Source organism: Homo sapiens, chromosome 2 (genome assembly GCF_000001405.40).
Source record: "Homo sapiens chromosome 2, GRCh38.p14 Primary Assembly".
Classification (NCBI taxonomy): Eukaryota; Metazoa; Chordata; class Mammalia; order Primates; family Hominidae; genus Homo; species Homo sapiens.
This window is the reverse complement of record NC_000002.12, coordinates 15,206,901-15,223,737: the sequence shown is the minus strand read 5'-3', so window position 1 is coordinate 15,223,737 and position 16,837 is coordinate 15,206,901. Positions and strand designations below refer to the sequence as shown.

The 16,837-nt window shown below is 38.9% G+C and overlaps 1 protein-coding gene across 11 annotated transcripts in view; it reads left to right on the top strand.

Moving 5' to 3' along the window:
* The window catches only part of NBAS (NBAS subunit of NRZ tethering complex), a 782,426-nt gene that overhangs the window by 337,597 nt on the left and 427,992 nt on the right, over positions 1-16,837 (top strand). For 10 of the 11 annotated variants that reach the window (XR_007076390.1, XM_017004317.2, XM_047444733.1 and 7 more), the window contains one exon: positions 4,770-4,965. The exons of the other annotated variant lie outside the window; for it this stretch is intronic. Coding sequence is in view for 9 of the 10 variants with exons in the window: in XM_017004317.2 (XP_016859806.1) it covers positions 4,770-4,965 (196 nt within the window). In the remaining variant the exon portion in view is untranslated. The remainder of the gene's footprint in view (positions 1-4,769; positions 4,966-16,837) is intronic. 11 annotated transcript variants of the gene reach the window in all.

Here is a 16,837-nt window from a genome sequence, read left to right as displayed (position 1 = left end):
CCTGCCTCAGCCTCCTGGGTAGCTGGGATTACAGGCACGCACCACCACGCCCAGCTAATTTTTGTATTTTTAATAGAGACGGGGTTTCACCATGTTGGCCAGGATGGTCTCGATCTCCAGACCTTGTGTTCTGCCTGCCTCAGCCTCCCAAAGTGTATTTCATGACTTTTAAAAATCATTTGTATTACCCTTATAATGAAGTAAATAAGTTTTGAAATAATGATGTTCTTTTTTAATTTTTAAGCTCATTAAGTCCTCTCCTTGCTTTCATAAAAGATGAGAAATGAAATCACTTTCCTTCTTCCTATTCTAGTTTTTACATTATAAAAGTTATAATTGCGGTTTTTTACCTGTTAATCTTGAAAAATTTAAAACCCTTAGAAAAATTACACAGATAAAAAAAAAATACTGACATGCTTTTCCCCTTGATTTGCCAGTTGTTAAAATTTTATCACGGTTCTTCCTCTCTGTTTCCCTATGCATATGTTTGTGTGTATGTGTTTGTATATTTGCTGAACCGTAAGAGTGACTGTGAATTTTAAGAACTCAATTTGAAATCAAAATATAAGCAATTTTGAAGCTAAAATCTTCAGGAGATAGTGTCTAGTCAATGTCCTTGACAGCTTTTTCTAAAGAGCTGCCTTTCATTTCTGTGTCGTTTTCTTGAGCACCAGTAATAGTGAAGCACATCTATGACTCGGTGCTTCCAGAACACAATGCTTCTATTTTAGGAAGGACTTCTCATAATTTTATTATATGTTTGAACTATCAACACAAAATGAGAGCATGTTCCTTTAAAATGTCAAATGTTATTAGCTGCACAGTAAGTTCTAATGTAAAAGGAACTAATTTGATTTAATAACTTGAAAAATATTAGAGTGATAATCCTTCTATATCTCATCATAGCTGAGTAATTTTAATCCACTGCCACACTGTTCTGGAATAGCCCGTTTGGTTCAGTAGCATTGCATAGTAATTGACAAGGCAGTCAGATAGTCCAAGTTCAGATATTGGTGCCACTACTTACTGTGTGACCTTGGACAAGTTATTTTTATCTTTTTTAAAATTTTAATATCATTCAGCTCAAAATGCCATAGTCAATTCTTAAATCTGAGATTGTTACCTCATCTACAAATTGGAGATGATAACAGTATACAAGAAAAAGATAGTTATGATGAAGTGATATAATTCATGGTGCATAGTAAACCTTCAGAAATTATTATGAATATTGTTTTCATTGTTATTCACCATATTGGGGGCTTTGGTTATTATTATAACTTCCAGCTTGTCTTCATGACAACAGCTTCCTCACATTCTAGCTTTTCCTACTTATCTCTTCTTGGCACTTGGGTGAGAGGGCCAAAAAATCAGCTTCATTTTATGTGAAACTGGTTAGGACTTATAGTCAGAAATGGGCTTTAAATTACTTTCTTCCTGAATTAGACAGCTTCAGGCCTTCATCAAAAGTGCCTGAGTCTGCCCCAGCCCATACATTTTTCTAATCAGTAACATGATTTTGATGTTTCACTGCTCAGAAATCCTCTATCATTCCCATTTCATGCAAAAAAGATCAGATATCCTTAATAATAATGGTTGCTTTTAATTGAAGCACTTAGTTATATGCCAGACATTGTATTACATGCCTTGCATTTATTATTTTATGTTTCTGTTTAATTTCTCAACAACCCCATGAGGAAAGTGTTGTTATCCATCTCCAATATACGAATAAGGGAACTGAGGCTCTGCTCTATTGAGTGACTTCTTGGTCAGAGTTACATTGTTAGGAAGTGGCAAATGTGGGCAGTGAGTCTGGGCCAAACACCACCAGAGCCTGTGCTGTCAAAGAGTTAAACTGCACCGCCTTTTCAGCCTTGTATTCAGTCTCTTGGTTACCTAGGTGAGAAAGCCTATCTTTCCTTACCTCTCTCCTCTAATTTACCACCCACACATCTGTGCTTTAATCTCTCCCTGAAAATTCTTTGTCCTTTGAAATCTTTTGCTGGTTTTTTCTTGCTGTTCTCTGTCTGGATTATATTTTCCCACACTTGCATTTATATACATTCTAATTATCCTCTGTGATCCTGTTCAGATGCCACGTCCTCTCTGAAGCCTTTCCTGGTTCTATTCTCTCTTCCTCCGAAACAGTTGTTCACATTTATATTAGTAATTTGGATAATAGTCACTTTTAAAGTCTTGCCGTTCCATGGTATTATTAGTTCTTTGAAGGCACGGACCATATAATTTTTTTTTATCTCTGTATCATTAAGCACAAACTATAGTGCTTTGATGATGCTGATAATTATGGTGAAGATTGTTATTATGACAATGGTGGTTACTATTTATTAAGTACTTCCTCTGTACCACATAATTTGCTAGGTGCTTTGTATATGTTATCTTGATTTCACAGACTCCAGGTGACACACTCTTGGGACCTTCGTCTGTGTCAGTATAACCTGGGAAGGATAATATTCATGATTTTTACCTAGAGTTCTTAGGAAAGTCTGCAGCCAGGATTCAGTTAGGTCCATCAGATTTTTTTTAACGGTCTTCCCGTTAGACCCATTACACTGTACTGTCTATTCAGCTTGCAAAAGGTTCACCAGAAATACTTGTAGCATCCTATTTTTACACCCTAATTGTTTCCATTTCTGATAAATATTTAGGAATCTTATAGGTAAAATTAACAACTGAGTTGCTAAATTTATGAAATTCTTAAACCAATTATCCACAACATTTTGTAGTTTCACTTATTCTTAAATACAAATAATTCTTTTAAATTGCCATAAGATAGCATTTGACAAGTATATTAAATAATACATACTGAAAGACATACTCAGTGGCATTGCAGAATTGTATTCTTCTCAGAAGTTAAAAAAAAAAGACTTGTAATCTTATTAGGGCATGGAATTTGATTTAAGGTAAGTTAGACTGGGATTCAGCCTAGGTGATTTATAGCTAAAAGCCTTATAAGGATCTGGCTACAGCAAAACCTGTATAATTCAGTGCTTTAGCATGGATCTCCAGGCCCTTGTGGGAGTGAGTCTCCTGTATGGATAACCCCTTAAGAGTTATGGATAAATAATCCATTGACATAATCAAATAAGATATTCATTTGGGGTTACAAGAAAAGAGATTCCAGTATGAGATAGAACATTGTACAAACTGTCCCCTTTTCTGAATCATTTTAAACTTCACAGTCCTATAATAACCAAGCATTCATACTTCACTTTTAGAGTAGTATAAGATTTGATACTCTAATGGCATATTGAAATTCTAATCATCTGGGGAAAATGATAGAAAGAACTGGAGCTTTGGGGTCCTACAGCACTATTATTCATTTGTGTGGGCATATTATATCACTTCCCTGAAGTTTGTTGGTTCAGCTGTAAAAAGTAACTTATGATGCCTACTTTGCTTAATTATTGTCAGCAAGTAATCAGATATATAGCCGCCCCGTCCGGGAGGTGAGGGGCGCCTCTGCCCGGCCGCCCCTACTGGGAAGTGAGGAGCCCCTCTGCCCGGCCAGCCGCCCCGTCCGGGAGGGAGGTGGGGGGGTCAGCCCCCCGCCCGGCCAGCCGCCCCGTCCGGGAGGGAGGTGGGGGGGTCAGCCCCCCGCCCGGCCAGCCGCCCCGTCCAGGAGGGAGGTGGGGGGGGTCAGCCCCCCGCCCGGCCAGCCGCCCCGTCCGGGAGGGAGGTGGGGGGATCAGCCCCCCGCCTGGCCAGCCGCCCCGTCCGGGAGGTGAGGGGCGCCTCTGCCCGGCCGCCCCTACTGGGAAGTGAGGAGCCCTCTGCCCGGCCAGCCGCCCCATCCGGGAGGTGAGGGGCGCTTCTGCCCGGCCGCCCCTACTGGGAAGTGAGGAGCCCCTCTGCCCGGCCACGACCCCGTCTGGGAGGTGTGCCCAGCGGCTCATTGGGGATGGGCCATGATGACAATGGCGGTTTTGTGGAATAGAAAGGCGGGAAGGGTGGGGAAAAAATTGAGAAATCGGATGGTTGCCGGGTCTGTGTGGATAGAAGTAGACATGGGAGACTTTTCATTTTGTTCTGTACTAAGAAAAATTCTTCTGCCTTGGGATCCTGTTGATCTGTGACCTTATCCCCAACCCTGTGCCCTCTGAAACATGTGCTGTGTCCACTCAGGGTTAAATGGATTAAGGGCGGTGCAAGATGTGCTTTGTTAAACAGATGCTTGAAGGCAGCATGCTCGTTAAGAGTCATCACCACTCCCTAATCTTAAGTACCCAGGGACACAAACACTGCGGAAGGCCGCAGGGTCCTCTGCCTAGGAAAACCAGAGACCTTTGTTCACTTGTTTATCTGCTGACCTTCCCTCCACTGTTGTCCTATGACCCTGCCAAATCCCCCTCTGCGAGAAACACCCAAGAATGATCAATAAAAAAAAAAATTAAAAAAAAAGAAAAGAAAAAAAAAAAATTACTAGAATGCAGCCTTGCACTATTGGTATTATTAACAGAAATAAACCTTACTACTTATTAAATTTTGAAATAAGCTAGCCAAGGATGTTTATCTGCTTTATATAACTCATTTTAATATGATACTGTTTTAAAATTACATTCATTTTACATAGGTTTTAAATACCTAATACAGTTCGCTGTAAGCCATTTAAAAACCAAAATTTTTCCTTTCAAGAGGAAAAAAACGAAGTCATCCAACAAACAAGTGTTAGGTCAGTGACCACATTTGATTACCGGAAGGGGGAAAATAAAAGGCTTAGGAGTTTACAGATACCTCTGGATTTTGCCCTGCAGTGAGGAGCTGGTTTCACCTGAGGACCTGCTGGAGTGGCTGCGGCCTTTCTGTGCTGATGACGCCTGGCCGGTGCGGCCCCGCATTCACGTGCTGCAGATTTTGGGGCAATCATTTCACCTGACTGAGGAGGACAGCAAGCTCCTCGTGTTCTTTAGAACTGAAGCCATTCTCAAAGCCTCCTGGCCCCAGAGACAGGTAAGGGAGTGTCTGAATGATTATTTTTCTTACTAACAATAATTAGGCCGGACGCGGTTGCTCACGCCTGTAATCCCAGCATTGTGGGAGGCCAAGGTGGGAGGATCACCTGAGGCCAGGAGTTCAAGACCAGCCTGGCACCTGGCCAACATGACAAAACCCCATCTCTACTAAATCTACAAACAGCCTGGTGTGGTGGCACGCATCTGTAGTCCCAGCTGCTCGGGAGGCTGAGGCAGGAGAATCGCTTAAACCTGGGAGATGGAGATTGCAGTGGTCGAGATGGCACCACTGCACTCCAGCCTGGGCAACAGAGCAAGACTCCATCTCAAAAGAAAAAGAAAAAAACAATAGTTGGAGGTCAGTTCTTGATTTCTTTAAGCAACTGTCAACTGGATAATCATCTTGGTAATGCAAACTTTCCAGTATATATATCAATCAGCTATTTAGTACTTGAATATGTACAACGAAATTTATTTTTATTTTTCCATAAGCTTGAACATGCATATGCATGGTAGATTATACACAAAACACGTGTACATTATTTTTCTCTTAATAGGAGATAGGATGGTTCACAGTATCCGTTAATCATGGTGGCTTACTCTTGCCCAGGAAAAATGCAGGTGTGAATAGAAATATAGTAATTCTATATTTAGCTAATTCATTTCCTTCGTGCTCTGCCCAGGTACTAAAATGCTGTCCCTTCTCCCTATACTTAGAAGGACATAATGTAACAGAGACACAAGACCTTAGTTTCTCCATACCATACTTCAAGGCTCACTCAGTCCATCTTCTCTCTGGAACCTTCTCTAACCATTGCAAGCTTAATGGAACCTTGAATTCCACATATTTGAGCCTTAATTATTTATAATTATTATCGTTATTAATTACTGTTAAAAGTTTTGTTTTTCCACCACCATGAAAACTGAAGCCCTAGAGGATGTATTTACCATCTTTTGACTCTAAGTATCCTGTGCACATACTCAGAGTTTAAATCCTTATTGATTGAATAAATAAGAATGCTAATTCCTAAATCAAAGAAATATTGTGGCTGTTGAAATTTGGCTTAAATTCTAAATTGATGCACCTGAGGCCATAGCGTCCAGGAGTCGGGAACCTTAATCACGTGCTTTAGCACGCAGGGTTAGACCATCATGTCAATAAGTGTTACAAATTAGGACTTCCCAGATAATCCCCATTGCAAAAGAGTTTCCTAGAGGTCTAACTGCAACTCATTCTACCGTCTAATCTTAAAGCAAGTTTATAATTTATATGGTTATTACTACATCTAAAGAACAATAAATTCCTTTTAAAAAATGAATCAGATTTTAAGAATATTTTGGGCCTCATCACGAATATCTTTGTAATTATTATCAGATACAGTCTTATTTCCCTCTGTGAGATGAAGAGGTCAATACTATTGTTTGCTCTTCAGAGTTAGAGAAATTGAGATTCAAAAAAGATAGACCTATCAAAGATTCTCTATTCTTGTCAAATCACTGAAGTGGATTGTAGTTTAAAAGTCATGAATATCAGAATCATACTCTCTCTGAAGCACTGTGACCTTAACATGTTCAGTCTCAACATTTTGCCTTGAATTACTTGAGGAAACCACTTGCAGTGTTTTTTTAAAGAGCAGGCTAGGGACACGAAGGCATAGGCCACAAGCTCTATTGCCGGTACAGGGCATAGAAGTTAGAGATGTGCTTGTTTTCAGCAAACATGAAGGTTCATGTGGCATCCCTGGGGAAAACCCTAAATTAGGTCACATTAGTTTTGCTATGTGGAACTTTAGGTTCTGACTCTGGTCCTGAAGCAAATGGATGTGACTACAGTTATGTACTTTCCTCATACCTTCACTTTTTAAATTCTCGACCTCGGTCAGTTTCACCTTCTCGCCAGGATGATGAGGCTGATTTCTCTGGTTAGAGCCTCACTTTATGTTATGTCAGATTCCTAATATTCTAAAGATAAGAGGAAACAGTGTAGAAGTTGGGAAAAGGGGAAAATGTCCATATTACCTGACATGTTAAAACACAGGAACATACACTTCAATATTTGAACGCGAGCTCTTCATAAATAAGTATCATTGCTATTTCTTCCTTTAAGCTTTTGTCGATGTTCTAATTACTCAAGAAACAAGTTGTAACTTTTATATGAGTTCAAGGACTTCTGAATATTTTTGAGATTTTAGTTCCTTGATAGCTTAACTTTTTCCAAAAGCAGAACTTAAGGCAACTTGGCTTGTAATTAAGATTTTTTTCTCAAGCACTTTTCTAAACTGACTTGACTTTATTGTTATGAGTGCAAACTATTTTCTCTCATTTGCCAAATCCATGTGTATCTGCGTTTCACCAATATTTCTTCTGTGGTGGTGCAAACTTTTTCCGGCCCCCTAGGAAATCTCTCCCAAGAGTCTCTGAATGACTCTAATACAAGTCATCTCATATCCCCCTCACTCTTTTTGTTTTCTCGCCTCTCTGCTTTCCCCTTATGTAAGAGCATTTTCCCTGTTCTTGGTAGGTAATGATACAGATTTGTTGAATATTTGGTAGTACAAATAAGAAAGCCACACTGGCTTAATGATGCTACTCATCTAGAGTCTTCTCCAAGAAGTAAATCAGTGAGTGTCCCCCTCCTCCTTTAGAAAGTAAAGATGTCTGTCTGGCATTACTGATTGAAATCTATTTTGAAGGACAGGTGCATTTGATGGGGGAAAATGACTTATAATTGTAAATAACCTCTTGTTACTTGGTGAGTGAATGCAGAAGTATTGTGTTTAGAATGGAAACACCAACAACTTCTGGAATGTTACAAAACTATGCCCATAGTTTAAATTGTCTCTTAAATTATTGTTTTTCAAAAATTGTCTTACCTTTCACTAGAGTAGTAGAAAGATCAGGGCACTAGTGGGCAGATACTTGTGTGTGTGACCATCCTCCCTCTACCACTAGTTTTAGAATTTGGGGGAAGATTCTTCATCTGTGTGCTTGGCTGCTTGGTGTATAAAATGGAAGCTTCAACTAGAGGAGATAGAGGATGTTGTGCTCCCCTCATCATTTCTCTCACACACATTAAACTCCACTCTTCATCTCCATATCCCAAACACCTAGAAGATCCCCAAGTATTGACTGTATGAGCTCTTGTTTTTTTCATTTTCTCTCTATCCCCTTCTTCATTCTCAGAGATAACTTTGGGTGATATTAAGGATAGAGACAAGTTCTTACAGAGTAAGGATAAGAATAGATAATGATATTGCAATGTTCAGTTACCAAAAAATGTGTGACTGCTACTTTCACTGTGGCTGCCAACCCTCTTAGGCAGACTTTGCATACATCAGAGAGAGACTTAATATTTAATTATCCTCGAGGTGCCCAAAGTAGTGGCCCCACAAATCAGTGTGTTGCTGGGAAACCAGCCAGCTCCTGCAAAATTAAACACAGAGTCTCTGGTTCTTGCTACCTCACTGGTTCTCGGAGAGACAGTAATTTTTAGTTTTCTAATGATTAGTTAACAGAATTAAAAATTCAGAGGCCTTCATTTTTCAACAGTTTGAGAGGCTTTTATTTCCATTCCAGAAATATGCCCCAGCTTGGGGTGGGAGGGAAAAAGAGAGGGACATGGGGGCAGGGGAGAGGGGATGAATGTGTTGTGTTAATCCTCATAGTACGGTTTATCTGAGTTTTTCAGCTTTTGTAATTTTCTAGCTAACTGGTGCATGAAAAATATGGGGCAAAATATGGTTAATTCCTTTAGAAAAAAATCCCATACCATGTCACCTCAAACTTTTTTCCCATTTTTATGTAAAAAAGAACATGTGGCTTAGTTTTACCTTTTAAAATTTCAGTATGTCTGAATTTGTGGTTGTAGGCGATCACCAAAAGAATTAGTTTAAGACAATCTAACCTCATTACAAATGCATGTATTTTGCCTACTTTGAAATGTTCAGGGACATATTAACCCTTCTTTTCAGAAACCAGTTTGACTATATTTCCAAAATATTAGTAAAATGTGCCCTTCCCTCTCAGAGCTCAGAGAACAGCCACAAAAGTCCAGTATGCCAAGCTACATTTAGATCCTTACAAGTAATTTACTGTTACCTTAAATGTCTTCAAAGCTAAGACTCACTGTCATGATTTACTTAACCAAATTTAGGATATTTGAAGTTAAAAATATATGTGCACACATCCATATCATATAATATAACCTAGCCATGAAATCACAGATTCCTAGAACTAGAAGAGACTTTCAAAAGCATCCCCAGTTCAGCAGTCATACTTTATAGAAAAGGATACAGAAGTCCAGAAAGGATAACTGCCTTCCTCATATTTTAGCTTAAATGTTTCCTTTTCTAAAGTGACTATACAGCCTAAATTAACCACCTCAGTCACTGTCTATTTTATTGCTGTCTTAATTCTCCACAAATCACTCACCAGTGTCTGCTGACTTTTTCCTGCCTATCCTTATGTTTGTCTATTTATTATATGAACTCTTTCTTCTTCCATTAGGATATAAATTCCATGAGAAGAGGGATCTCACAAACAATAAATATTTGTTGAATAAATGAATATCAAATCTTTAAAAATTTGTCCAAGGTCACCCTTAAAATGGCAGGGCAGGACTCCTGACTTTCAGTCTGATGTTCTTGCCATTAATGATGAAGGATTAGACCATGCCACTTCCCCCTGACATGCAAGCAAAATGATTTGCTTGGAATAATGGGAAGATTTCCTTATAGAGTGGCCTGGTGCTTTTATTTTATTTTTATTAGTTTGCCATAGTTTGCTGACAATGATTTCTGACCAGCCAGTTGCTTCTCATGTCACAGCATGTTTGTCCCAATATGAGCAAGAGATTTGAAATGTTTGGATATAGCTCCTTGTGTCTTTTTTCCTAAAATGATTAAAGTTGACAGAACATCCGTTTTAATTGGTCCTGCAAATATTTGGAGATGTTGAGAGTTTCTCTTTATGAACAATGTGTTCCTTGCTTTAAATATTTGCCCTCTCGCTGTTGGCATCACTGGGGGCCAAAGAAGGAACCCTGGAATGTGTACTATGTGCACGCTAATCTTTAAAACTGTCTTGCAAAGTGGTTACCATCCTCTCTGTTTTAAATGAGGTCACATGACCAATTTAAGGTGATACATGGAACTCAAACCAGTTCTGTCTGGTTCTAAAACCTATATTCTTGGCCTTGTACTACACTTCTTCCTATTTTCCAGGGAAATATATGGCACTGATATTTGAATAGCATTGGACTACATAAAGCATAGTCTTTTCCTCTTCCCACTATGACTTTACATGGATTAAATTTGATTAGAGATGAGAAATCAGGGGTTTGACAGAATAGAAAACATTGCTTCATCTTTTACATTTGTCACGTCTCGATACATGGTACTATATATGTTAACTGCTGCTTAATTAAAATATTGAAAAATGCCATGCCTATTAACTGTTGTTTGAACAGGGCAATATGTGTGGAATATTCACCAAATATTCTTCAAGCATATGTCATTTGACATGCACTGTGCTACACTCTAGGGACAGAAAAATAGACAAGGCAATTGATAGTAAAATGTTTGGACTTTTTAGCCACCAGTCCCTAGCTCTGTGAGCTTGGAAAAGTTAGTAAATCTCTCATAACCTCAATTTCCTTGTCTAAAAAATGGAAATAATAACACAATACAATTGTTGTAAGAATTAAATAGGCTAATACCTATAAAGCTCTAATTCTGGTCCCAATAAATGGACCTAATTGGTGAAGGACCTCTACACCAGTGGAGAACATAGATCTATCAACAAAGAAGTAGATACCCTAAAGGTTTAGATACCGTATTAGTTTGTTCTCACGCTGCTATAAAGAGCTGCCCGCAACTGGATAGTTTATAAAGGAAAGAGGTTTGACTCACAATTCTGCAGGGCTGGGGAGGCCTCAGGAAACTTATAATCATGGCAGAAGGGGAAGCAAACAGGTCCTTCTTCACATGGCAACAGGAAAGAGAAGAATGAAAGCCAAGCGAAGGAGGCTTCCTATAAAACCATCAGATCTTGTGAGAACTTACTATCACGAGAATAGCATAGGGGAAACTCCCCCCATGCTTCAGTTACCTCCCACCAGTTCCCTTCCACTACACGTGGGGATTATGGGAACTACAATTCAAGATGAGATTTGGGTGGGGACACAGCCAAACATATCAGGTACTGTGATAAAAGTCTGCACAGTACACAGGGGTCAAAGGAGGGCGTGCAGCCACTGTGTCTGGAAGCAGTGAGGAAAGGCTCACTGCTCTTGAAGAGGTGATACTGAAACTGAGTTCAGCCCAGCTGGTGTATGGTATGAAGACAACAGCCACCAAAAGAAGAAAGTGGAAGGAAGCAGATCAGATCCTGGAGAGCCGCGAGTATCATGCTCAGGTTTGACTTCTGTGCTGCTCAGGCAACACGGAAGGGTGTGGCCCGAGAAGCAACATGAACAGATCTATGTTTAGGGAGAAGCCCTCTGGCCTCTGCATGAACAGTGGACTGGAGAGGTCTGGCTGGAGGGATGCCAGTTGGAAGACAAAAGCAGTGGTCTTATTGCCTGTACTGGCCCTGAAGTTGGTACTAGCTGCGAACAAACAAGAGGGTAGAAAAGAAAGTGTAAAGTGTTAGTATCCATGGACTTGGTGTCTGCTTAGATATGGGGGCTTAGAAAAGAACTTATTTTGCCTCTGATTTTTGCCTAAGTTACAAGGAGGAAGTGGTGCTGCTGAACTTATTAGCACATGCAGGAGGAGAATCCAGTTTTGTGGCAAATGACACTAATTTCAGGGAAGTCATTAGTATGTTTTAATTCTGAAGAATGCTTTTTGGAAGGTGGAAGTGGAGATATAGGGACGCTCTGTTTATCCCCTTCACACAAGCATCCTTTCTTCATGGCCTTAATGTGTCCTAGTTAACAGTGACCACTTCCTAGGAAGTAAACTTGAGTTTAGCAGATGTCACTGGATGAGGTCTGCTCTAACACCATCTCTGGGTACTCTTTTCCCAGGTTCAGGTCAAGTCTCAGTTGGGCTAATCATGTCCAAGTGCCTTCTGCTTAGAGGTGTAATGATCTCAGCAGTGATGATCTTTAGTTAACATGTTGCACAACAATATCTTCTCTTCAATCCTCCTACGGATAAGCGAGAAAAACGTTGAAGGAAAAGGAAAAAAAATTGTCACGAAAAATAAAAGTATGTGAATGTTGGGCACTGGTAGAGGAGATAGAATAACTGGGGATAACTTTTCATTTGGAAATTTGAGATTTACAAAAAAGTTGCATAAATTATGCAAAGTATTCTGTATACTTTTTACTCAGATTCATTAAATATTAACATCTAAGATAACAAAGCTACATTGTTTCGATACTGTCATCCAATTTACACATAATTCAAATACTGTTCGTTGTCCCACTAGTGTCCACATCTAATATAGGTTGCACATTGCATTTCTTTATTTTTTATCTTTTTATTTTTTTAATTTTTGTGGGTACATAGTAGGTGTATATATTTTTGGGTTACATGAGATATCTTGATACAGGCATGCAGTGCATAAAAATCACATCAAGATAAATGGGGCATGTACCACCTCAAGCATTTATCCTTTGTGTTACAAACAATCTAAGTTATACTTTTAGTAATTTTTATATGTACAATTAAATTATTTTTTACTATAGTCATCCTGTTGTGTTAGCAGATACTAAGTCTTATTTATTCTAACTCTTTTTTTCTACCTATTAATCATCCACTTCCCCTGTAACACCCTCACTACCCTTCCCAGCTTCTGATTACCATCCTTCTATTCTCTATCTGCATGAGTTCAATACTTTTAATATTTGGCTCCCACAAATAAGTGAAAACATGTGAAGTTTGTCTTTCCGTGCCTGGCTTATTTCACTTAACATTATGACCTCCAGTTCCATCTGTGTTGTTGCAGATCTCAGGATCTCATTCTTTTTATGGCTGAATAGTACTCCATTGTATATATGTACCACATTTTCTTTATCCATTCATCTGTTAATGGACACTTAGGTAGCTTCCAAATTGTGGCTGTTGTGAACAGTGTTGCAATAGACATGGGAGTGCAGCTATCTCTTTGATACACTGATTTCTTTTCTTTGGGGTATATACCCAACAAAGAGATTGCTGGATCATATGGTAGCTCTATTTTTAGTTTTGTGAGGAACTTCCAAACTCTTCTCCATAGTTTTTGTACTAATTTACATTCCAACCAATAGTGCATGAGGATTCCTTTTTCTCCATATTCTTGTCCGCATTGTTTATTGCCTGTCTTTTGGATATAAGCCAGTTTAACTGGGGTGAGATGATATCTCATTGTAGTTTTGATTTGCATTTCTCTGATAATCAGTGATGTTGAGCACCTTTTCATGTACCCATTTGCCATTTATATGTCTTCTTTTGAGAAATGTCTATTCAGATTTTCGCCCATTTTTTAACCAGATAATTATTTTTTTTCTATAGTTGTTTGAACTCCTTATATATTCTGGTTTTTAATCCCTTGTCAGATGAGTAGTTTGCAAATATTTTTTCCCATTCTGTGTGTTGTCTCTTCACTTTGTTGATTGTTTCCTTTGTTGTGCAGAAGTTTTTAACTTGATGTGATTCCATTTGTCCCTTTTTTGCTTTGGTTGCCTGTGCTTGTGGGGTATTACTCAAGAAATCTTTGTCCAGTCCAGTGTTCTGGAGAGTTTCCTCAATGTTTCCTTTTACTAATTTCATAGTTTGAGGTCTTAGAGTTAAGTCTTTAATCCATTTTGATTTGATTTTTATATATGGTGAGAGATAGAGGTCTAGTTTTATTCTTTTGCATATGGATATCCAGTTTTCCTAGCAGCATTTATTGAAGAGGCTGTCCTTTCTCCAATGTTTGTTCTTGGCACCTTTGTCAAAAATGGGTTTACTGTAGATGCTTGGATTTATCTTTGGGTTCTCTATTCTGTTCCACTGATGTTTGTGTATCTTTTGATACTACTACCCTGCTATTTTGCTTACTATAGCTCCATAGTATAATATGAAGTCAGGTAATATGATTCCTCCAGTTTTGTTGTTTTTGGTCATCAGAGCTTTGGCTATTCTAGGTCTTTGTAACTTCATATAAAGTTTAGGATTGTTTTTTGTATTTCTTTAAAGAATGTCATTGATATTTTGAGAGAAATTGCATTAAATCTGTACATTGCTTTGGGTAGTAGGAACATTTTAACAGTATTTATTTATCAATGATATTGGCCTGTAGTTTTATTTTTTTAATGTGTCTTTGTCTGGGTTTAGTATCAGGGTAATACTGGGCTTTTAGAATTAGTTTGGAAGCATTTCCTCCTCCTCTATTGTTTGGAATAGTTGGAATAGGATTGGTATTATTCTTCTTTAAATATTTGGTAGAATTCTGCAGTGAAGCTATCCAGTCCCAGATTTTTCTTTACTGGGAGACTTATGGCTTCTGTCTCATTACCTGTTATTGGTCTGTTCAGGTTTTAGATTTCTTCATGGTTCACTCTTGGTAGGTTGCATGTGTCTAGGAATTTATCCATTTCCTCTAGATTTTCCAACTTACTGGCATATAGTTGCTTAAAGTAGCCACTAATGGTCCTTTGAGTTTCTGCAGTATTGGTTGAAATGTCTCCTTTTTCATCTTTGGTTTTATTTGGGTTTTCTCTCACTTTTTGTTTTTAAGTTAATCTGTCTAAAGATTTGTCAGTTTTATCTTTTAAAAAAAGCCCAATGATTTGTTTTAGTGATCTTTTATGTTGTTTTCTTCATTTCCAATTCGTTTATTTCTGCTCTGATCTTCATTATATCCTTTTTCCTACTAATTTTATATTTGATTTGCTCTTGCTTTTCTAGCTCTTTAAGATGCATTGTTAGGTTATTTGAAGTTTTTCTTTTCCTTTTTTGATGTAGCCACTTATAGCTATAAACTTCTTTCTTAGTCCTGCTTTTACAGTAACCTATAGGTTTCGGTATGTTATGTTTCCATTATCATTTGTTTCAAGAAATTTTTCAGTTTCCTTCTTCATTTCTTCATTGGGCCACTGCTTGATAATATTTCCATTTTTTTAATGTTTTAAGACTTGTTTTGTGACCTATAATATAGTCTGTCCTTGAGAATGATCCATGTGCTGAGGAAAAGAAGTATATTCTCCAGCTGTTGGGGGAAATATTCTGTAAATATCTATTTGATCCATTTGATCCATAGTACCGATTAAATCCAATGTTTCTTCGTTGATTTTCTGTCTGGGCAATCTGTCCGATGCTGAAAGTCGGGTGTTGAAGTCTCCAGCTATTATGTATTGGGGCCTGATATGGTTTGGCTATGTCCCCAACCAAATCTCATCTTGAATTATAGTTCCCATAATTACCACATGTTGTGGGAGGGACCCAGTGGAAGATAATTGAATCACGGGGGCACTTTCCCCCATACTGTTCTCGTGGTAGTGAATAAATCTCATAAGATCTGGTGTTTTTATAAGGGATTTCCCCTTCCACTTGGTTTTTCCTTCTCTCTTGCCTGCTGCCATGTAAGACATGCCTTTTGCCTTCCACTATGATTGTGAGGCCTTCCCAGCCACATGGAACTGAGTCCATTAAACCTCTTTTTCGTTATAAATTATTCAGTCATGGGTATGTCTTTATCAGCAGAGTGAAAATGGACTAATACAAGGCCTATCTCTTTCTTTAGCTCTAATAACATTTGCTTTATATATATCTGGGTGCTCAAGCATTGGGTGCATATATATTTACAACTGTTATATCCTCTTGCTGAATTGACCTTTTTATCATTATATAGTGACCTTCTTTGTTTCTTCTTATAGTTTTTGTCTTGAAATCAATTTTGTGTTAGTTACTATGTTAGTCCATTTTCACACGGCTGTAAAGAACTACCTGAGACTGAGTAATTTATAAAGAAAAGAGGTTTAATTAACTCACAGTTCTGCATGGCTTGGGAGGCCCCAGGAAACTTACAACCATGACAGCAAATGAAGAGCAAGCACCTTCTTCAAAAGGTGGCAGGAGAGAGAAGGGGGGAAGCACCAGACACTTATCAAACAACCAGATCTCATGAGAACTCTATCACAAGAACAGCAAGGGGGAAGTCCACCCCCATGATTCAGTCACCTCCCATCAAGCCACTCTTCCAACACATGGGGATTACAATTTGAGTTGCAATTTGGGTGGGGACACAGAGCCAAACCATATAATTCCATCCCAGCCTCTCCCAAATCTCTTATCCCTTTCACTTTTCAAAACCAATATGCCTTCCCAGTAGTCCCCCAAAGTCTTAACTCATTCCAGCCTTAACTGAAAAGCACAAGCTCAGAGTCTCATTGAGACTGAGACAAGACGAGTTGTTTTCACTTACGAGCCTGTAAAATCACAAATTAGTTAGTTCCAAGATACAATGGGAGTACAGACATTGGGTAAATGCCCTCATTCCAAGTGGGAGAAATTGACCAAAACAAAGGAGCTACAGGCCCCATGCAAGTTTGAAACCCAACAGGGCAGTCATTAAATTTTAAAGCTCCAAATTCATCTTCTTTGACTCCATGTCTCATATCCAGGGCTCGGTCATGCAAGATGTAGGCTCCCAAGCCATGGGCAGCTCTGCTTCTGTGGCTCTGCAGGGTACAGCCTCCATGACTGCTTTCTCAGGCTGGCGTTGATTGCCTATGGCTTTTTCAGGTGCACAGTGCAAGCTGTAGGTGAATCTACCATTCTGGGGTCTGGAGGATGGTGACCCTCTTCTCAAAGCTCCACTAGAGGCAGTGCCCCAGTGGTGACTCTGTGTGGGGGCTCCAACCCCACATTTCCCCTCTGCATTGCCCTAGTAGAGGT